The sequence below is a fragment of the Homo sapiens genome, chromosome 4, assembly GCF_000001405.40.
Source record: "Homo sapiens chromosome 4, GRCh38.p14 Primary Assembly".
Lineage (NCBI taxonomy): Eukaryota > Metazoa > Chordata > Mammalia > Primates > Hominidae > Homo > Homo sapiens.
In genome coordinates, this window is record NC_000004.12 from 105057582 (window position 1) to 105081912 (window position 24331).

The 24331-nt window shown below is 37.9% G+C and overlaps 3 annotated features.

The window, feature by feature from the left end:
* Window positions 1707-1806: an enhancer, noted in NCBI's record as "active region_21773". NCBI's record gives its function as "activates an Ori minimal core promoter by ATAC-STARR-seq in GM12878 lymphoblastoid cells {active_cell/tissue: GM12878}" and the evidence as "EXISTENCE:reporter gene assay evidence [ECO:0000049][PMID:35858748]".
* Window positions 1827-1896: an enhancer, noted in NCBI's record as "active region_21774". NCBI's record gives its function as "activates an Ori minimal core promoter by ATAC-STARR-seq in GM12878 lymphoblastoid cells {active_cell/tissue: GM12878}" and the evidence as "EXISTENCE:reporter gene assay evidence [ECO:0000049][PMID:35858748]".
* Window positions 3372-3471: an enhancer, noted in NCBI's record as "active region_21775". NCBI's record gives its function as "activates an Ori minimal core promoter by ATAC-STARR-seq in GM12878 lymphoblastoid cells {active_cell/tissue: GM12878}" and the evidence as "EXISTENCE:reporter gene assay evidence [ECO:0000049][PMID:35858748]".

The following is a 24331-nucleotide window of genomic DNA, read 5'->3' on the forward strand; positions in this document are numbered from 1 at the left end:
AATTGGAGAAGTGTAATGGTTGCGCAGTTTCCTGAACACACAGATCTCAGCTGCTTAATTTATTTTACAGTGTTTTTTATTAGCCTATAGTTGACTAGTATAATTTTTCCTTTCTACAGACATGGAAACTGGATTTCCAGGTTTCATGCTGTTCCTCACATAATAAATCAGGTCAATCTATGAATTCTTTTTTTCACTATTTCACAATACCTATTTGATATCTACTGTCTGTGTAGCTCTGTCTCAGGTATGCAAAAATAAATGTGACCCAGAGGAACTTACGAGCATATTATAGTCGGAAGGTCAGGTACTTTCCCTTTGTGTTTCCCAGCCTCTGTCTTAAGAAATCAGTAAATGCCTCACAAACAGATGTAATTCATTTGTTTATGACTTTCCCAGGCCACACAGAACACAATAAACAGAGTATATGCCTGAGATATATTTAGAGTCTTCACCCAAGAAGGCTTTGGATGGTTTTTAAATACTGAGGGTAATGATAAATACAATACTCTTTTGCCAATCAATAGAAGTACGATATTACAAAAACAGAACTTCTCCTTATTCTTCTCACTGGGAAGGATTTGCTCAGCAGCATAGCTTTTAACACTCTTACGACTTAAAATAAGATACTCAAAACTGGGCAGATAAAGCATCGATTCTAATCCACCACCTGAAGTCATATGACTCATCTGAAGCAGAAGTGGAAAAAAAAATCTAGACCAGGAATCTCAAATTATCACAGGCAGCAAAGAAAGTCAAAATGATTGTACCAATGAGTCATCCGCCATCTGCTTCTCTTCCAGAAAATGTAAGTCAAGGTACAGATAAGCAGGAGTAAACCAACATCAAGAAAATGCAAACCACAATGTTCTTCTACAATGATAGAAGGAAATATGAAGTATATTAAAAGCTAACACAAGGAGATTAGATTGACTCAGAACCTCACTGAGCAGGCTGGGAAGATAATAGGTTTTGTAAGACCCAATACCTGCAGTAAATGATATGGGAAAGGGAAGGAGGCCTATACTATGGCTAAAAAGGGAACTGAAAGCCAAGAGACTCAATAGGTGAGTTCCAGTTTACCAATTTATTCTTCCCACTCCATTTGCTGACTCAAGTTGTGATACAGAAGATAGGAAATCTCATCTTCCTAACAAGAAGACTCCATTCCTATGAGGAAAAATAAGCTGAGAGTCCACTTGAAATCTCTTCTTGATACCTCCACATCCATCATCCCTCTCTTATGATCCACTTTTGGCTACCTTACTAGAACAGAGAACTGTTCTGTGGAATTATTCATTCCATTGCTCTTGTTTTATATTGATAGTTTAGCACTCATCATACTGTATTACAGGGCATTATTTGTACTTTTTCTCTTTAATATATATAAATTCCTTCAGTCATGTGTCATAGCAATAGCTAATTAATACTCATTATTTTATCCTACCAATCTTTATTGAGCACCTACTATGGGCCAAACACTGTTCTTGGGGCTTATGATATATTAAAAAACAAACTATGATCTCTGCCTTTGTGAAGCTTACATTCAAGTGGGAGGCAGGAATAGAAAATCATCATAAGTAGATATGCTAGTATGTTTGAAGATGATAAACATCACTGAAAAGAAAAACAGTAGAATAAGAAAGATCAGGAATGCCAGAAGGTAGTGTTGGGGAAGGGGTAGTTTGCGGCATTAAAGAGGACAGTCAGAGCGGGCTTTATTGAGAAGGTGAGATTTGCCCAGACTTGAAGGAGGTGATGGAGTTAGTCAAGTGAATTTTGAGAACAGATGTATTACACTTTCTTCTTCAAGCTCCATCAAGGACTTTAAGCCAGTGCTACCTTGAGACTCAGGAGATTTGGTAAGTTCACCAAGCTGCCAGAACACTTGTTTTTGGCTCACATAATATATTCAGTGAGTAAGACTTTAGTCATTTTGTTACTATTGTGTGACATGGGAGACTGAGAACAGGAACAGAGAAAGGAGAAGCAGCACAGCACTCAAGAGTGGGGTGGGAATGGGGAGAAGAGGGACCTCCACTCTCATCTGAATCAAGAAAGATTCTGGAAATCTTGTGGGTAGAATGAAGTCAGCCCTTCCTGTTTCCTAAATGTCCTTCCTTGTGATGAGTTTTAATTATCTAAACCTGTCATAAAACTCTACAGAGTCTCTTTGTTGTCTTTAAAGACTTCTTTTTGCTGGCTCTTTTTATTCATTCTTTATTTCTGTGGTGACCAAAAGGATCAATCTCAGCTATATTTTCTGGAGAGGCCCAGGAGAGGGAATTCCAGTTTTGTTGTTCAGTTTCAGCCCTGTACTAGTTTTATAAAATTATATCTATTTTGGGGGGCTCTTTCAAAGAAAGTGTAACTAATCAAGATATATTTGAAAATGTACTCATTCAATTAAAAACGCTTATTAAGCGATTGACAGGTTTCAGGCACTGACTGTGTATTAAGCATACAAAGATAAGGAAGATATGGTTATACTAGAAGTAAAAACCTATCCTTAATAATATTCTGGGGCAGCCGGGCGCAGTGGCTCACACCTGTAATCCCAGCACTTTGGGAGGCCGAGGTGGGCGGATCATAAAGTCAGGAGTTCGAGACCAGCCTGACCAACATGGTGAAACCCCGTCTCTACTAAAAAAAATACAAAAATTAGCCGGGCATGGTGGCATGCACTGTAATCCCAGCTACTCAGGAGGCTGAGGCAGGAGAATTGCTTGAACCCAGGAGGTAGAGGTTGCAGTGAGCTGAGATCACACCACTGCATTCCAGCCTGGGCAACAGAGGAAGACTCCATCTCAAAAAAAAATAAAAATAAAAATAAAAAAAATATATATAAAATATTCTGGGGCATTGCATACCACAGGCCAGAACAAAATGACCCCAAGTTATAGGAAAACAATAAAACAGATTTGTCATACTCTAGAAATAATTCAGTCAAAAGTACTAAACATTTTTTCAATGAAACAAGAAAAGTCATGTTCTTACTGATGACTATTTTACTACTGTGATTGTCTTTTATGTAAAACTTTTAAACCCTAGCAACATTAGCCATTCCTCCTGGTTCCTGTTAATAAGTCTGTGCTTCACTGAACATCCTAATCACCCACATTTACCATCACTTTACCATGAAAGAGGAAGAGAATGGTGACTTCACAAAAGTCAATAAAGAAGAAGTGGAAACAGTGAAGTGAGGGGAAGCCTCAAGGCAGCAACTAAGAACAACCTATAAGCACAGAGAATAATAGTGGTCAGGTTTTTAAAGACCACAGGACCTCTGGGAGTGACTCATTTGGAGAACATACTATTTCTGCCTTTGACTCCACAGTGAGGTCTGCCCATACGGTGTTGGTGGTGTTATTTTATGTAAGATGTAGCTCAGTTGCCAAAGAAGTACATGTTTTCCTCAGCCCTATATGACTTAAAGATCCCTCTAAAACTCAAATTAACACATAACGTGTAAATCACATATACACAGTGTTTAGTGTCATATCATAAAATGTTTTTGCATCAATGAGTTAGTTGTTACTGCTTCTGCAGTAACATCTTCTGCAGAAGGAACTGCAGATATGTGAGTATAGGAGAAAATAAACATATCCCTCACAGTCTGCTTTCTTTGTTTAATTCATTCACTAGACTGATCATTCTAAGGAGGATTTTGTGCTGCTCTTGTTTTGCTGCTGGGCCTATCCTGTTTCCATTCCCAAATCAAGTATTCCTGGAATTTAAGGTATCACTTTACCAGCCTGACCACAAGTTCCCCATTGTTTCCTCTGCTCTGCTCATGACCTGGAATAATGCCTCTCCCTGGATACTAAATTTACTGACCCTGCCTAGGACCGAGAAGATTGATGAGTCCTCAACCCGTGCATGTCTTCAAAAAGGTAAGACAGACCAGCAAAGCAGTAAAATGACAGACCCATTGTTTGAGCCCAACGCTGGGACTTCCCCTTTTGTATAAGCTGAGTCACATTTTTCCTGTTGTCAACTTGAAGCCTGTTCGTTGATGTACGATAGGACTATCTTGCTGATATATAAAGTCAGGCAGACAGGTTTCCTTGCATTTGTTTGCCTTACCTTGGACCCTTACCAATTAGAAACTGTCCACTGGCCAAAAGAGATAAGACATGGTTTATTAAAGCTCAGATACTACATTGAATGAAATAATTTCTGACAATTTTCTTCTGTTAAAGTGCCATCCGAGGTTCCTGCCTTGTGCAATCTTACTGATTTTGACAGAGGTCTTTTGGGATGTATATGTGCATTTTATTCTTGATATCTGTTCAGTTGACACATGTTTTAAAACCACAGATATATTTGATTGGTTGGCAAATTGTGAAAACAGGAAGTCAAATAATGGAATCAACTGTGAAACAACCATAACAAGTGAAGCTTTTCTGCTTAAGTGCCAAGATGGGAATACTGTTATGAGTAACAAACAAAATGAAATGATAATGTCAATATAATTCCAACAGGAAGAGTGAGCATCTGGACTGCCCTAATTATCATATTTCCAGTGCTTTATAACCAATGAAATGGTTTTTACATTTTACTCTCCAATATTGTTGCTAGGCATGATAAAAAATCTCCAAAATTGAGAGAGGGATGTGGTGACATTTTCTAGCTAGGAAATATTTGAGATTTTTTCTTTTTTTTTTTTTTTTGGTCGGACAATCACCACTTGCATTGGACTTCAAAAAAATACCTTGCTGGGGCCAGGCGCAGTGGCTCTGCCTATAATCCCAGCACTTTGGGAGGCTGAGGTGGGTGGATCCCTTGAGGTCAGGAGTTCGAGACCAGCCTGGTCAACATGGTGAAACCCCGTCTCTACTGAAAATACAAAAATTAGCTGCGTGTGGTGGCGGGCGCCTGTCGTCCCAGCTACTTGGGAGGTTGAGACAGGAAAATCACTTGAACCTGGGAGGTGGAGGTTGCAGTGAGCCAAGATCCCGCCATTGCACTCCAGCCTGGGTGACAAGAGTGAAACTCCATCTCAAAAAAAAAAATAAAAAATCTACTGATTGCTTACTCTAGAACAGGCACTGTTGTAAACACTAGGGTTATGAAGGTCATGGCAAATCACCTTCTTGCTTATAAGCATTTGCACATTACACCGAGACTTTTCTTGTAATGCCTCAAGGTTTCCAAGTACCAGTTCTCCTGTGATAGTCATTCTTCCATGGTGAATTTTCAAAAGGTTATCAAGCAGTGTAAAGAATAAAAAAAATCCTCAAATCAATAGATATGAGGAACATATGCAAATATTAGAATAAAATGAAAGAGACGATTTTTAGACAAAGACCAGGAAATACGATCTCACTAGTATGTATTAAGTTTATAAAACTTATTACTTCAAAAATTTCAGAAACATAAACGAATTTTAAAGACACCTGAATAAACTTGAGGCAGGGCAGCTGTTAGCAGTATAATGAGGGAAGGGTGGAGCATGTACCATGCCACAGATGGGAAATCCTGTTCTTCCATCTTCCATCTTCTGAGAATTTCTATATGAAATATGTTATGGAAATGATGGCATGTGCCATCTATTCAGACAATTGAGTTTTTAAAGTATGATCAATATTTCTCAAGGTCTGCCCCTGCCAGAAAAGAATTTAAAATATTACAATGGGACATTTTAATGTCATCTTGTTGGAGGGAGAATTAATGAGGACTTGGCACAATTGATTGTTAGTTAGAAGATTAAGTCACAATGCATATATTAATCTATTTAACCTTCAAACACTGTTTTAAGAGACTGTTTTAGGAGAAAGTACTTTTGAGCCAGTTGCATATTTCAGTCAACCTTAATTATATTCAGAAATCTAACCCTAGAAATGTAAATTTAAAGGTGGAAGAACAGAAAGACAAACTACTCTAAAGCTCTCATCTTACAGATGAAGCACAAACAAATTAAATGAAATCCAGAGGTTACAGCATTTATACAGCGATGAAGCCAAGCCCAAACCTAGGTCACCTGGATACCAAGGCTTGTCTCAGGTCTCTGCATGGACAAGGAGATGAAATAAAACTGCATCCAGAATTATCCAATTAGCCTGTATCTCTTATTGTGAAATGATTCCATTTGGATACAGAATCAGTCACTAATTGAAAAAAACACTGCATTGACTTTCAACTGATGAATCTGCCCTAAGAGGTGTTACACTTGTCATTATACCCATAGAGTATTACAGCACTGCTTACCAACTCTGTACTAATCAAACAATCATCTTTATTGTTTCATAAAGGTGAAAAGTAAAGAAAAATTCTTAGTGAAAAAGCCCTCCCAAAGAGAAATCCAGGGAAAATAGCAATAATAATGCAAAACATTCAACTATATAATTTCCAAGACTTTCACTTCACTGTGTAGTCAAGTAACACTATTATTCATTTCACAGCTATAGATCAATTTGCTCATGTGTGAAACCTAGGAAATACAACCATTTTCTCTTCAGATGAGTAATCCTGGTTTGAGTTACCCATACAATTTCATAAAAATACATTATTCCAGATGGACTCCAGTTGCTGGGCAGATGGAAATGCTTAAGTAAAGGACTAAAAACTTCATTATCCTAAATTAGGTAGTCAGAGAGAAAAAGTATGAATATAACTATAACCCAAATAATTTTTAAGTTTTATGAATATTTTTAAAAATTCTACTTTCAGGAGAAAAGAACTTGAAAAATAATTACACATATTTAAGTATTTAAAAAGTATATACTTTTACAGTCAAGTTTTTAATCAATTAGTTGTAGCTACCATAATTATATTTCTCATAGTCACTTTCCATTTTTACATACTGAGCCAACCTGTCCATAAGCCAAGCTCAGGTTTATCTCATTCCTTCAGTTGATTGGACAGGATTTCCCCACAGGCACAGGTGCAATTTCTGTAAGCATCACTGCTGTGACTGTGATGGTTAATGTGGGAGTCTTGTCTACCTTCCCACATAGCTTACCTGTGCTCATTGTCATTGCATATGACATTTCTGGATGTACATTTCTATCTAATGAGAGACTGCTGCTCAGCCCATTCATATTTATGCTTTGGCCAGTCTGACAGAAGTTAGCTCATAATGGGCAGGACAATTGGTGTCCCATGGTCAAGAGCTCCGTCCCTAGCAGGATCTAATATTGTTCCAGGAGCTTCTTTGGACCTCTAAAAACTTCACTGAAATGACAGGTCTCTAAAACATCATGAGGTTTATCTCCCACACTCAGGCATTGCCACCTCTTACTGCAAAGGAATGAGCCACCTCTGTAAACTTTGAACATTCAGGGATGTATACAGAGCCAAAATCCTCTGGGGGAATCTACCCATTATGTCTTCATCCCATGTTTTAAGATCCTAGGTTTTCATCCATGGTCTGCCTTGGCTGAGCATGTAAGTATCTCTGATGCTCTGGAATTCTACTTGTCAAATCCTGGAGTCTGTTTTTCAGCTGTTCATTATTCCACTGCAGGGGAAAAGAGACCCTTCTTAAATCACCAGAGAGGTTCTCTAACTCTTGCCCTTAGCAGTAGTTTGTTAATGGTTCTCTGTTTCTCATTATCCCATTGCAGAGCATCAATATAACAGTAATGCCCAGCCAACACTCTGTCCTTGTGCTCCCCACCGCCATCTCTCTTTCAAATCCTTGAATCATTATAACTGCAAGGGCATTTTCCATTGGGATGTTTCCTCAAGTCACCCCTGATGAATTGTTCAGCGATTGGATTTTCACTTTGTGCCAGGGACTATCTAGGCCCCACATTCCTCTCATGATGCAGTCCTCCTTGCCTGTCGAGAAATGAGTGAGCCAGGCCCCAAGCTCCATCTTGCCACTTGACTTATCAGAACATGTTTGGTTTCTGCCATGTCAACTCAGGTCAACCCAGGAGGAGCTAACAAAACAGGATTACACATGTAAGATATATATTGGGGGAAACTCCTGTGAAAGATGAAGAAGGAAGGGGCAGGAGTAGAGAGGGCCTTCAGACCACAGTGAAGAATTGGCTTCTGTAAAAAGAGAAATAGAATGTTTGTAATCCTGGTCCAGACCATCTCTAACTCTGTAACTCTCCTATTTCCACATCTTTTGACCACAAAGTTGTTAGAAGAACTGGAGATCGATGTACATGGGAAGGCCCAGCTCAAGCTCTGTGCAGAGTGGGTCCTTAGCAACTGTTACGTTATGTGTTCACTGCACAGAACAGGGGAGTAATAAGCAGAGCCCTGGGTTTCCTTCAAAGAAATGCAGTGACCCTTATTTCATGTGTAGGCAGGTAGATATGGAGGCTGCCCCTCTCTGCATCTACAACAAGCCCTGTTTCTCATTAAAGTCAACGTTGAACACTATGTTTTAAATAACACAAGGAAGAAAACAGGATGCACTTATCTCCTTAGACATGACCTCAAAATGTATTCTTCTTTATAACTGTTATTACTAACTAAAATACATCCTTCCTATTCTTTCTTTGGAAAGAAGAAAAATAAGGCTTGTGATGGAAGGTAGGATAAAGCCAGCACATATTGAGTGATGATATGTGCCAGGTACTACTTTAGGTACTTTATGAATGTTTTCTTTCTTCATCCTTACACTCTTTGGAGTTAGAATTATCCACACCTTACATAAGAAAACAATCAAGGTTATAGAAATTAAATAACTTGTCCATAGTATTGCAGTTAATTATCAGAAATGACTATTGACTCTGAAACTTTGTATATTTCAGTTTTGCAAAAATCTTATCTGTGAGGTGGACTTTAATTCAAGAATTATAGAAATGTTTTGGTTGAAATAATTTTTTTAATAAAAAAGAATTTTTTCCTATGTTATGTATTTAAAATCTATAATGAATTTTGGCCCTATCTCTGTTAAAACCACATTGTTTTAAATACTTAGTTGCTCATAAATCTATTTCTCCTCATTATAAACCCTTGAGGGAGACTATTATATCTAATTCATCTCATCCTAACCAACTAAAATTAGGCCTAAATGTCATATGCACTCAATTTATGTATGCTGAGCCAAATAGGATAATTCAAACAACTCAGTTCATTTTTCTGCTAATTCTCCACTTACTCTGATACAGCAAATTAGAATGATAGAGAGGAAAACATATCCTCTTCTTTATTCCATGGGACCCATATCATAGTGGACAGCCTCTCTCAAAAAAGCCTTAAAACTCTTCCATTTTTTGAGAACCCATAGTTGTTTAACTAGCTTGTCCTGGCTGAAAGATAGATGTGGATTATAAGAATCAACAGGAAATCCTCATTGCAGGTACACATCTCCTAAATTTCCCCACTATGCAGAGAGATGGCCAATTATTATAGAAGCATAATTACTATAGAAGTTGTAGCTACCATAATTATATTCTCATAGTCACTTTCCATTTTTACATACTGAGCCAACCTGACCATAAGCCAAGTTCAGGTTTATTCCATTCCTTCAGTTGATTGTACAGGATTTCCCCACAGGTATAGGTGCAATTTCTGTGAGCATCACTGGCCAACATGGTGAAACCCTGTCTCCACTAAAAGTACAAAAATTAGTTGGGCATGGTGGCCCGTGCCTGTAATCCCAGCTACTGGGGAGGCTGAGGCAGAAGAATTGCTTGAACCCAAGAGGCAGAGGTTGCAGTGAGCCAAGATTGCGCCACTGCACTCCAGCCTGGATGACAGAGTGGCGAGACTCCATCTAAAAAAAAAAAAAAAAAAGATAAAAGATAAATGTAGAGTACTTGTGATTTGGGGAAAAGATCATGAAAGGTAACCTTACAAAACGTGACTTTTACAGCAACTTTCAAAGTTTACGTTATGGTGAAGAGCATAGGCTTTGGACACAAACCAGCCTTAGTTTGAATCCTGTCTGTGACACTGAGCTGTGTGACCTTGGACAAGTTACTTAGCCTCTCTAGTCACAGTTTCCTTGTGTGTAAAACAGAGATAATAATAGTGCTGTTTGAGAATTAAGAGGAAGACAAAATGTAAAGCACTTAGCACATGGCCAGCAGATGATAAATACTCATTAAACAGGAATTTACTGTCATTATTATTTTACTATGCATGCAACTAGCTGCTTCATGTGTCTGAGCTGAATGATAACAACATTGGAATTCACAATTTTAATAGATCTTTGCATTCCCACAGCATCTTTTATCTCAGAGGACCAAAGTTCTGGAAAATATTAATTCTCGTCTGTTATGTTTGTACTAGTAAAGGCAGGAGCACATACAACGGCCTAGTTATTAAAAAGAACTATGATATAAAGCGCTAACTCCACATGCACAAAGTTATACATAAAACCTTAACAGAATCTAGGTCTCTCATCTTGGATTCCTCATTAATTGTAGCAGATTGTTTCCAGTGGCTAAATATTATTTATTGGCAGTGTAAGTCAATGCTGCTGATATATTACTCTTTTGGGGAGTGTTTGTTTTTTGAAAACTGCTCTCAAATTTTCTAAATGTGAATTTAAAAGTCTGTCAGTCTATGTGCCGATAACACAAGACAGATTGTAAATGTAGCGGGATGCAGTCAAGTCAAACAAATCCAGTGAGAGCGCCAGAAGTCTTTATTAGGACTGCTCCTGTTCACAGGCTTTGCTAATGATGGAACAATTGTTTGTGCTGATTTGTAGCTGGCATTGATATGCCGGCAGCAACACTTTCATCTAAAATCCAGCTCCAAATTTTTTTAATACTGCCAATGAATTTGCTGTGTCTGCAAAGAGCAACTCCAAAGAACCTTTCTAAATAATAAGAAATGGGAATATTCAAGCAGTCTTTAATTCTAAATCCAGAGTGTTAGTTGAAATATACAATGATTTTTCTCTTTGTCATTGTTTTGTCATCTACTGGGATGCCTGCATCTCAACAACTTGTATGAATTAATAACTAAACACAGCTTTAAAATGCTGAAATTGGCAGATGTTGAAGGGAAGTAAATGCTGAACTGCAGAAGGATATTCCAAGATTCCAAACTTATCTAACATTTTCTTCACAAAATAAAAAAATGCAAATGCGCTCTGACTGCTGTTCACATTTACTGTGGGGACCAGTTTTTTTTTTTTTTTTTTAATCAAACAGCACCTGCCTCTCTATTCAGAGATGTCTGCGTGTGGGGATAAGTGCAAACAACAAAGGCTTCGGCTGTGGCAGAGGCTGCATCATTTTCTTGGAACTTGCCATTATGTTTCAGGTCAGAGATTGAGGTTTGGTGCAGGGAATGGAGCTTTTAATATCAGGTGAATGGATTTTTATAAGAGGTTGGGAAGCTTTGGGTCTTAAAGAGAAAAATGGTGCTTTAAAAATAGCCACATTTCTTTTGTACTGTAATTATCAGTGCATGACCAATCATTTTTTATTCTGTCTGTGTGGGCAAAAGGAAATATCCTCTACCCATCTCTGTGGGCTGGCCATTTGAATAAGTCAAAATGTTCCCATATTTAATCAGTTTATTGAGAATATATAATTTAGCTAGAAAATTGATCCTGAAACATCACTTTTAAGGGAGCATGAAAAATGATACAAATTCATCAATTTTTTAAGAAGTCATTGTCATATGTTTGCTGCTTAAACAGGTAATGTGGAGTAAATCAGTGATTTTTTCACAATTTCTATTGAGAAAAGGTTCACATTGTGTAAGTGACAAAATGTCTGAAATAGGAATAATCAGCCTTAAAAAAAATAGAATGGTAAAAATATGAAGAAACAGAACAATAACTTCAGCTGATCCCAGCTCTAACATTGATGGAGAAAGCCCAGGCAAATCACTGAATTCCTCTGAGTTTCCATTTCTGCATCTATAAAGTGTAAATGGTAAAATGTTCCCTTCCAGGACTGTTGTGGACAGGAAATGAGAAAATGTTTGTGACGTACTTTGCAAATGGTAAAACATTTTAAGAGCATCAGGAAGAAAAGGAGAAGTAAACGGGATGATAATAATAATTACAATATGTAACAATTATAATGACAATTATAATATTAAATATAATAATTGTTATTAATGAAAATACTAAATCCTGCCCAGAAGTGCTAGAAATTGGTAAATCCTCAGACCATGTCTTCATTATGTTCTTAACTGGAGGAAAAGGAGACATACATACTCTGTAATCCCACATGAAAAAGTGAAGTCTATTATAACTGAAGTGGACTGCAGACTACATTAACACCTGTTCTTTGAAAGAAACTCTTAAATTAAAGTTACATCTTTCTGAGAGCTTTTTTCAAAAGCAAGTGTAGGCTAACAGAGTATCCTATTCTTGAAATGGCTTGTTAGGGTTTCAGACAACCTTTGCCCACAAAACAGGGGAGTCACATTAACTTGCTAAGGTTGCATTTCTCTTTCGTTAGATCAGTCACTCACGGGTTATGTAGGGTTACATGAAGTCACCAATCAATGACAAGCATTCATTATCATATGTTTGCTCCAAAATACAAAGCTTTAAACTGTTCCAGGAATAAAAATTTTTAAATAGCATCCTTTAAAAGTTGCAGGAATTATGGATAGAAAACTATTGTACATTTTTGCTACTGAAACCAACATCCCAAGAAAATAAAATACACTTTTAATAGTAGATGCTCGAAATATACAACTTCCCACACTCACTTTCTGGGTAATAAGTTGTGTGCTGAGAAGGTAAGGCAGTTGGTGGTTGCTTATGAAGAATTTATGCACTACAGTTCATCTAGTTAGAGATGAGAGAAAGATGCAACTAGCATATATAGGTTGCCAATTCTTCCTCCTCCTCTAGTAGTTGTATATTATCTGCCTAGATAAGCTAGAAATATATTTCCCCAAATTTCTTTCCCTATAGTCCTGGGTTAGTGTTGGCCACAAGAGGAGTTTAGATGAAATTTGGGAGCGGAAGTGTACCAACAGCCATTATGCTCAAAAGATCATTGTTGCTCAAGGCAGGGAGGAACAGACAAAACGAGAAACTGGCAGTTTTGTTTCGTTCTGCTCATCCTGACCCATGTCCCTAGCTGAATGCCTGTCCAGCCAAACAATAGCAACATTAGGTTACCAGCAAACCCTTTGCAGCTGAACTCAGAGGCACTAGCCACAAAGATCCTGCAACCTTCATCAGACTTCTAGCCCAGTACTATTTATTATTTTTTAATTTTTGTGGGTACATAGTAGGTATATGTATTTATAGGGTACATGAGATGTTTTGATACAGGCATGTAATGTGAAATAAGCACAACGTGGAAAATGGGGTATCCCCCTCAAGCATTTATCCTTTGCGTTACAAACAATCCAAATTACATCCTTTAAGTTATTTAAAAATATACAATTACTATTGACTATCACCCTGTTGTGCTATCAAATAGTGTTTTTATTCTTTCTATTTTTTTAATCCATTAACCATTCCCACCTCGCCCCTGCACTGCTCTCACATCCCTCACCCACCTCCACCAACTATCCTTCCCTGCCTCTGGTAACCATCCTTCTTCTCTCTATGTCCATGAGTTCAATTGTTTTGATTTTTAGATCCCACAAATAAGTGAGAACATGGAATGTTTGTCTTTCTGTGCCTGGATTACTTAACATAATGATCTCCAGTTCCATCCATGTTTTTGCAAATGACTGGAACCTAGTACTATTTCTGCTTCTACTCTAGCAGTTGGACATGCATGGCTTCCTGCAAACTCTAACTCTTTAACTTGCTTACCCACTCTAGACCTGGTTGAAGTCAAGTCCACTTATCAACACAAGTCATTTGAAGGCATTTGGTATAAGGGGAAAACATGGGCTTCAAAGTCTTACAAATCTATTTATTCATCCTCTTTCCTCTTCTGTCTGTATGACTTTAACCTCCTTAGGCCATATCAACCTTCAAAATAAATGGTAAGAAATCTTGCCTTGGTCCTAAGTGAAAAAAAAAAAATTCTTTCATTAGAATCTTAATCCTAAATTAGTCTTCATGTAAATTTGAGGCTAGAATGCACTCTACCTGTATAAGCCATAAAAATCCCAAGCTCAGAATTGAAAGTGACCCATGGTGGTTAGTGCATCCGAGGCACAGGAAAAGAGAAAATACAGCAACTTTTCAAAGGAGAGCTCCTTAAACCCAGGACACAAAGTATTTCCAAATAAATTTCTAAGAAACATGAGCTTACCATAAAATTTTTTTAAATCACCCAGAGAAACTAGTCACCATTAGCAAGAGTCAGCAGAAACAATAAATAAGAGAATCTGACCTTCAGATCTGCAATTTTTGTGATATTATCTATATTTAAATTTTAAAGAATGTATTTAAATTTCTTAAAGAAGTATAAGAGATTGTCAATATTTCAGCAGATTTGATAAAGGAATAGAACATGAAGAAACAGAAATAATAATCATTGAAAACTCAATGGACAGGATAAGCTATAGGTTATAAATGACCAAAGAAAGACCTTAAGCTTTGATCCAGAATGCAGCACAAAGGGACAGAATATGAACAAGAGGTTAAAGGACATAAAGAACAGAGGGAGAAGTTCTAATATATATGTAATCAGTGCTTTAATAGGAGAAAATTGAGGCAGACAGACAGGTGACATTCCAAGAGATAATGGTTGAGATTCTTCCAGAAGTGAAAGGTAGCAATCCTTACACTCAAGAAACCCAACTAATCACATGAGCTAAAATGAGAAAATAAAAGTTTTATTTGGCAAAAAATGTAATGGCAATATATTTAATAATATTTGGTTTAGGTAACAATATACATTTTTTATTTTATTTATTTATTTTATTATATTATTATTATTATTATTATTTTGAGACGGAGTTTTGCTCTTGTTGCCCAGGCTGGAGTGCAATGGCATGATCTCAGCTCACTGCAACCTCTGCCTCCCAGGTTCAAACAGTTCTGCTTCAGCCTCCCAAGTAGCTGGGATTACAGGCATGCACCACCACGCCCAGCAAATTTTTTGTATTTTTAGTAGAGACGAGTTTTCACCATGCTGGCCAGGCTGGTCTCAAACTCTGGACCTCAGGTGATCCACCTGCCTCGGCCCCCCAAAGTGCTGGGATTACAGGCATGAGCCACCATGCCTAGCGGTAGCAATGTATATTAAAAGATGGAATGAAATTTTAACTTCTAAGAAGTCACCAAAAAAGGACGAGGCAAATGCAAATGAGGCACTCACTCTTAGAGATGTGCAAGTGCAGGGCTGGGGCTCTCAGGAACCTGACAGTGAGGGCCCGCCTTAAATTTTGCAACCTGAGTCTCTCACGTGCCTCACTCTTGTCCTGATTCTTAGAGACAAAAATCTGCGTCTGTGATCTAATACGCAGAATTGTCTAATTAAATATACTTTTAAAATATAGTGAGCTGTTGTATGAAATTTATGCCTATCTTTAATCTACTATGTTGTGATCCTATTTACATTTGGTATAATGCAACCATTGCAAATGTAGTTTGTTGAATTTAACAATGTAACCACCTCAATAACCAAGATACAGAACATCTCCATCAGCCAAAAAATGTCCCTTGTAGTATTTTGCTATTACCCGCCCCCACCCCTGATCCTTGGAAACCACTGACCTGCTTTCTGTCATTATAATTTGGATTGACTTTTGCAGTTTTATATAAATGGAATCATAGAGTATTTACATTTTGTTTTTAAATAATAAGATACTAAAAATATCTAAAACAGCAATTCTCTAAAAATGTCACATAACAGATATGGGTTATCTTTGTTGCAAGAAGCAAAAAAACTTACTTATTTGATATATTTATGGGGTTTTTCCATTCACACTATTTTTTTAAGTATTCGAGAGATTTTAGTGAGCAATATAAAAACTGTGACTCGGCAGGGCGTGATGGCTCACACCCGTAATCCCAGCACTTTGGGAGGCCGAGGCGGGTGGATCACCTGAGGTTGGGAGTTCGAGACCAGCCTGACCAACATGGAGAAACCCCACCTCTACTAAAAATACAAAATTAGCTGGGTGTGGTGGCACATGCCTGTAATCCCAGCTACTCGAGAAGCTGAGGCAGGAGAATTGCTTGAACCCCGGAGGTTGCGGTGAGCCGAGATCACGCCATTGCACACCAGCCTGGGCAACAAGAGCGAAACTCCCTCTCAAAAAAAAAAAAAAAATTGCAACTCAATACAACAATATTGCATAAGACAACTTGAAACAAATTAGCAGAATTATCATTTTTTACACTCTTAGTTAACTTGCATTTAGCATCAGCTTTTATTTTTATCAAAGGTTTCATCATGGATTTAAGTTAAATTCTAAAGATACATAAAAATAAAAAGAATCTTTCACTCTACAGTAATTAAACTCAACACCAGGGCTAGAGGTATTCAACTGAATGACCAAATCATAAATACAATTATCTTATGTCAAATGATTCCTGTGCATGGCCACTCAATACATTTTATAAGACTCAAAGTGTTCCGTGTGAAAGAAAGAAATAATCATACCATCACTTAATTTAAACATTTTTAAAACAAAAATTAAATATTCACTTAATTTTCTATGACCCTCTGTTTTTTAATGGAGATGTATTACCTTTGAAGATTTTTTTTATAACATGTTTTCATAAACATGCCATCCAAATAAAGAAGTTTTAAAGCATACTAGAAATCAAAACAGATACCATTGCTATTTTTAAAGAACCCCCTGTGACATTTTCACAAACCTTTGAGGATTTTCAAACCACAGTTTGGGAAGGAAAAATTAATGTGTGTTTACAGGCCACTCATGGGTCCCTAATTACTGTGTGTCAGCAAATAAAATAGTCTCTTTTGTTAGTTACCTTCTTTGAAGTCTCTGTATTATTTGATGCCATTTATCAGACCACTCCTTCTTCCTCATAATTTTTTATTTCAAGCCAACATTGTATTATTGCTACTCCAACCTGTCTGGCTGATCTGTCTCTGCTCCTTCAGAAGCTTCCCTCCTTTCTCCATGGCTTTTCTTACCACTTTATGCTTTCTTTCATTTGCTTAATCCTCCGTACTGATCCTGGGCATGTTGTCCCAATTCTTCTTCATCTTGCAGGCTGCATTTCCTGGGTCCCCTATTAGCTAGCTTCATTGACCAAAGGCAAGGACTAGAGGGAGAAAGGAAGCACTGGCAGGAGACACTGAGGGAAGGATAAAGGATGGGAAGAGCCAGGATATTTCTCTCCCTCCCTCCCTCTCTCTGCTTTGGGTACCATGTCTGATGTCTTGACTGGAGCTGGATGCCTCAAGATAGCTTCACTCACATGTCTGACAATTTTTTCTGGCTGTTGGCTTGATTCTCCTCCATAGGACCTTTTGTCTTTTAGTAGGCTAGACTGGGCTTCTTCACAGCATGGTGGTCTAAGGGTTTTATGAGGCAAGACTAGAACTGCAAGACCTCTTACGTAGAGGATCCAGAACTTACACAATGTCACATCCACCACATTCTGTTAGTCAAAGCAAGTCACAAGGCCAGGCCTTATTCAAAGGGATAGAAAAACAGACTTTGTTTATTGATGAGAAGAGCAGCAATAAGACATTACAAAAGACATGAAAACAAGGGGATGTAGTTCATTGGAAGCCATTATTGTGACAATCTACCTCGCTGAGTCCCAGAGTTCCAGAAACAGCACCTCTCTCCTAAACACAGTGTATACTATTCCTAATCTCTGGGTTGTTCCCCATTTGTCTCTTTTGCTCCCTTGTCACCTGTTTAACCAACTCCTTGCATTAGATTGCTTGTGGTTTCCTAGTTTGACTGTAAATGTGCATCTACTTTCTTACTTTAACAGTGATAACTCTTAAATCTGGATCTGAGTTCTAGATTTAAAAGTTCTAGAGTTCTGATTTCTAGATCTAAATCCTATTCTAAATTTCCAAAGGCCTTAGGGTATTTCCACGTTAATTTTTTCTTCTTCATCTCAAACCCAGCATATTCAAAACTGAATTCAGAATTCTCTCCCCTGGACAATGACTCTTCTCAATTTATCTATACTCTAAACCAGGGGCCAGATGACTATAGTAAGCAGCCAAGTCCATCACTGCTAATTTTATTGGAACACAGCCAAGCTCATTCATTTTTGTATTGTCTACGTCTCTTTCACTCTACAATGGCAGAACCGAGTAGTTGCAACAGAAACTGTGTGACCTGTAAAGTTCAAAATACTTACACATCTGGCCCTTTACAGAAAGATTTCCCGACCCCTGTTTTAAAGCTCTGATCCTGTCTTTTTCTTCTCTATGTACAATCAGAGACCAAAGGTTATCAATTCAGTTCACATTCTTCATTTCTAAATTATTTCCATATTCTTTTATCTGTCTCTCCCTGCTTCCATCCTAATCTATTCTGCATATTTCAACTAAATTGATTGTTGCAAAATACCATTTTAATTCTGTCGCTCATCTACTAACAATTCCACAGTGACTTGTTTTTATTACAAGTCACTGATCATTGCAAATTCAGCATCCTTCAACCAACTCACCTCAATTTACTCAACAAAATCTAATTTGCACTTTCCCCAAGCCATCTTCTCCAATCAGGTGCATCTTCTCTTACTTCTCTTACTTGATTTCAGAACCTCTGAATGCAGAAATTCTGTTTCATCGCTTATAGCTCTAGCACCAGGCACAGTGGTTGGCATATGGTAAACAGGGAATACTACTGATTTTTTTTCTACTTCTGTCACTTTATTTATATGCTGCCTCTACTTAGTACATTCTTTCCTTGCTTTCCTATCTATCCAACCCTCTGTACTGTCTCTAGTCTCATATTTTCTCTAAACTGGTCTAAGCTTAATGATCAATTTTTTATTCAAATTCCTGACACTAAAAATTTATATCATCCATCTCTTCACTGCCTCAATGCACAGGGAGATATAGAATTAGCCACAATATTGATTCTTGAGACAGTAAGAACATGCCATCTATTTATGCACAATTTCTAACATCCTTTCCCATACCTCACACTATCCTTTGAGGTATTTCTTCTTTGGGATTTGTCCAAAGTTACAAGGCTTCATAATTATTAGGAGCCAAAGTGACAATCTAGATTCTAAATTTATACATTCTAAATTTATAAGGCTTTCTAGGAAATTTCAGATGAATTTTATGATAGAAGGTTTTATTCTAGAATCTTGTAAATTGAGATATACGATATTTCAGATGTGGCAAGAAGAAAGAGTTGAGAGAAGTATATAAAAATACTTATTCACAGGTTATTACTCAGAAGAGAAAAAGTTCACTTACACAGAATCTAAAAGTTACAACCTGTATTTTCAGTGTTTGTGAACAAAATTCTGCAACAATACAGATATCCCAGGAAACCAGCTCTTATGACAGTTGTGTGCTGGAGCAATTTCCTACCAGCTTAAGGGGACAGATTGTTAAATATTCAGGAATTTTACAAACCAAGTGTCAAACCATTGGCAACTTGAAATCACCCATCATATGGGTATTTTCATCAAAATTGGCAAATGCAGTAAATCAAGGTTTTTTTTCTTAACAGTTTTCCAGCACATCACTGATATATCTATATCCATATCCATATCTATATATATATCTATAGCTATATATATATAGATATGGATATGGATATAGAAACACACAAAATATGAGGAAGAGAGGGACAGAGCACAATTATAGTTACAAGAGGAATAATGATTGATAAAAACACACATTAGTGTAGACTTTTCTGTATTCTAGGCCATGTTCTAAGCACTTAGCATATATTCAGGTGTGCTACAGCCAGCTAGTACTAGCTTACAAAAGCCAATGGTGCACATCTCTTTCCCAACTCCATGTTCAGTGGCCTCACACTGGTAGCTTGAAATCAGCCGTAGTGGGAGTATTTACACCACAGAAATCAGTAAATACTGTAAATCAGGAATTTTTATGCAGACAGCCAGTTGTTAAACATTCACCAGCACATCACTGTTCTTTAGCCAGACTTTTATAAGACAGCATACTCACTTTTGGCCTCCAAAATACATTATTCAGTACAGTTTGATAAACAAGAAACCTGTGCCTAAGCAGAGGAAAGGGAAGAAAACATATGAGATTACAAAAAGTAAGGGAAGACTTTGAGTTTGGTACAACTAGTCTGTGATAATAGAAGGGCTAGGAAATAAACACATTACCTTCCTTCTACCATAGTAGCTTCTGGGAAAGGTTGGCACTATGTTCTTTCCATCATGCTGGCTGTCTTAGCACATTTTGTGCTACTATAACAGAATACCTAAGACTGGGTAATTTACCATGAACAGAAATTGATTGGCTCACAATTCTGGAGGCTGCAAGTCCAAGATTGAGGTTCTGGCATTTTGCAAGGGTCTTCTTGCTGACTCATCCCATGGTGGAGGGCAGAACAGCAAGAGAAGAAAAGAGAAGGGAAGGGAGAGGGAGAGATAAGGGAAAAAAGAGAGAGAGAAAGAGAAGGGGGCCGAACTTACCCTTTTATAATAAACCCACTTCCAAGACAGTACCATTAATGTACTCATGAGGGTCAGAGACCTCATTGCCTAGTCACGTCTTAAACGTCTCACCTCTTGACACTGTTACAATGACAATTAAACTTCAACATGAGTTTTAGAGGAGACAAATATTCAAGCCATGACACTGGCCCTCCCCATGAAAACCAGAATTGCGAATAGTTCAATCATTTGACTTCAGTTTCTTGAGAACCGCTGACTCTTTTGATCAGATAACAAACATTCTTTGCCATCAATAAGTAGGTGCTTCCTAAACCCAGCACTTTGAATTTGGCCAAGTTCAAAGTGCAAATAAAGTAGAGGAAAAGGTGGGACAGAGACAAGGGGAGGAGAGAACCACAGTAAGGAAAGAAATTAAGAATAGCACCTAGAATGGGATGAGTTTCTAGAGTTAAGTTTTCACTATAACTAGGGCTTCCTTGATGTTTTGAAATCAAAAGTGATGCCTGCATTTGCCAGTCTTCCTTCCGTCCCCAGCAATTCTCAGTATGTCTGTGAGAGAAATCTGGGCCAGTGCATGCAAGGACAATTATGACAAGCTTCTTCTGTCATATTTTTGCAAAAGGAGAAAACTTCTACATGTCTAGGCCTCAGAAACAAAAGTTAATTTTCAATTCAAGTTTACATTTCCTTTAGGGGAAGAGCTGTCTAGTGAATTAGATAATTTTCAAAATTTCCTAGCAGAAATAAAAATCCAAGTTAAAGAAGGAAAATGAAAACAATTACAAATGGTAAGTTATCTGCCATGAACAACAACTGCTGGGTCTTGAAAGTAGGAGAGGGAGGTGTACGGCTTAATTAGGAAGTGTCCTCCCAGAATACCAATGGTCTCCCAGCTACTCTGCTTAGTTTGCCACAGACCATTGTCTTTCTTCATAAATCTAAATTAGCATCTGCAGCCACTTTCCTAGAAATGAAGATTTTAGCTCAGTGCTTCATTTTGAACACCCACTGGTCTTGAACTAAATTTAAATCATGAATGGAGTATTATTTAAAGGTTGATGATCTTCACACAGCATCACTTTAGCAATGAAACTAAAACCCCCTGAACTAAATTCTGCTTTATAGCCAACAGTGCCATGGTTAGGTTCCAGTTTAATAAAATTGTCTTGCTTTTGTAACTTTAAATGCCTTTAGACATTTTTTTTCAACATGCTATTGTAATGTATATAACATTGAGCATGAAGTGATTAAACAATAAAACCTTGAGCTAATTTGCAGGTGGGGGTGGATAATAGAGTCCCATGGGAAGTGCCATGGTCCTTCCCAAATTGAGGGAGGAAAGGTAGAGTCTCTTTTCATCTCTAACTTCAAACAAGACCAACTCTTTTGTCCCCAAGGGGATTTTAAGCCTCCATTCCAAAGGAAACACTGATTCCACTGAGAAGATTCAGGGTCCAGTGCGATCGCAAAACTTAACTTCTTTGTTATGCTTGTGAAAGCTAGAAGTAGAGTCTGTTAGTCTGTTCTTTCACTAGTATAAAGAAAACCTGAGACTGGATAATTTATAAGAAAAGAGGTTTAATTGGCTCACAGTTCTGCAGGCTGTACAGGAAGCATGGCTAGTGAGGCCTCAGGAAATTTACAATCATGGTTGAAGGCAAAGGAGGAAGCAGGCATGTCTTCACATGGCCACAGCAGGAGAAAGAGAGATGGGGAGAAGGTGCTATACACATTTAAACAAACAGATCTCATGAGAACTCACTTAATATCATGAGAATAGCACCAAGGGAGATGGTATTAAACCATTAGAAACTGCACCCATGATCCAATCACCTCCCACCAGGCCCCACTTCCAACACTGGGGATTACAATTTGACATGAGGTTTGGGCAGGGACACAGACCCAAACCATAACAAAGGAGTTATGCGTGGAAGGGTGTGGTTGGGAAAGGACAGGTAATCTTATTGTTAGACAGACCCAAATCTGCAGAGCCCAGAGATGGTACAGACCTTTTATGTTTCAGTCTATAAGCATTGGCCCTAAGGAATAGCCAAGGCAGTTTCTTGTTGTGCTGGGTCCCGGAAAGAAGCTGTACATCCTACAGACTTTTCAGCTAAAGTTGGGCATCTAGAATGTGATTTTTTTTTTATTATACATTAAGTTTTAGGATACATGTGCACAACGTGCAGTTTTGTTACATGTATATACATGTGCCATGTTGGTGTGCTGCACCCATTAACTCATCATTTAATATTAGGTATATCTCCTAATGCTATCCCTCCCCCCTCCCCCCACCCCACAACAGGCCCCGGTGTGTGATGTTCCCCTTCCTGTATCCATGTGTTCCCATTGTTCAATTCCCACCTATGAGTGAGAACATGAGGTGTTTGGTTTTTTGTCCTTGCGATAGTTTGCTGAGAATGATGGTTTCCAGCTTCATCCATGTCCCTACAAAGGACATGAACTCATCCTTTTTTATAGCTGCATAGTATTCCATGGTGTATATGTGCCACATTTTCTTAATCCAGTCTATCATTGTTGGACATTTAGGTTGGTTCCAAGTCTTTGCTATTGTGAAGAGTGCCACAATAAACATACATGTGCATGTGTCTTCATAGCAGCATGATTTATAATCCTTTGGGTATATACCCAGTAATGGGATGGCTGGGTCAAACAGTAATTCTAGTTCTAGATCCCTGAGGAATTGCCACACTGAATTCCACAATGGTTGAACGAGTTTACAGTACCACCAACAAAGTAAAAGTGTTCCTATTTCTCCACATCCTCTCCAGCACCTGTTGTTTCCTGACTTTTGAATGATCGCCATTCTAACTGGTGTGAGATGGTATCTCATTGTGGTTTTGATTTGCATTTCCCTGATGTCCAATGATGATGAGCATTTATTCATGTGTCTTTCAGCTGCATAAATGTCTTCTTTTGAGAAGTGTCTGTTCATAACCTTCGCCCACTTTTTGATGGGGTTGTTTGTTTTTTTCTTGTAAATTTGTTTGAGTTCATTGTAGATTCTGGATATTAGCCCTTTGTCAGATGAGTAGATTGCAACAATTTTCTCCCATTCTGTAGGTTGCCTGTTCACTCTGATAGTAGTTTCTTTTGCTGTGCAGAAGCTCTTTAGTTTAATTAGATCCCATTTGTCAATTTTGACTTCTTTTGCCATTGCTTTTTGTGTTTAGACATGAAGTCCTTGCCCATGCCTATGTCCTGAATGGTATTTCTAGGTTTTCTCCTAGCATTTTTATGGTTTTAGGTCTAACATTTAAATCTTTAATCCATCTTGAATTAATTTTAGTATAAGGTGTAATGAAGGGATCCAGTTTCAGCTTTCTACATATGGCTAGCCAGTTTTCCCAGCACCATTTATTAAATAGGGAATCCTTCCCCATTTCTTGTTTTTCTCAGGTTTGTCAAAGATCAGATAGTTGTAGATATGTGGCATTATTTCTGAGGGCTCTGTTGTGTTCCATTGATCTATATCTCTGTTTTGGTAGCAGTACCATGCTGTTTTGGTTACTGTAGCCTTGTAGTATAGTTTGAAGTCAGGTAGCGTGATGCCTCCAGCTTTGTTCTTTTGGCTTAGGATTGACTTGGCGATGTGGGCTCTTTTTTGGTTCCATATGAACTTTAAAGTAGTTTTTTCCAATTCTGTGAAGAAAGTCTTTGGTAGCTTGATGGGGATGGCATTGAATCTATAAATTACCTTGGGCAGTATGGCCATTTTCATGATATTGATTCTTCCTACCCATGAGCATGAAATGTTCTTCCATTTGTTTGTATCCTCTTTTATTTCATTGAGCAGTGGTTTGTAGTTCTCCTTGAAGAGGTCCTTCACATCCCATGTAAGTTGGACTCCTAGGTATTTTATTCTCTTTGAAGCAATTGTGAATGGGAGTTCACTCATGATTTGTCTCTCTGTTTGTCTGTTACTGGTGTACAAGAAAGCTTGTG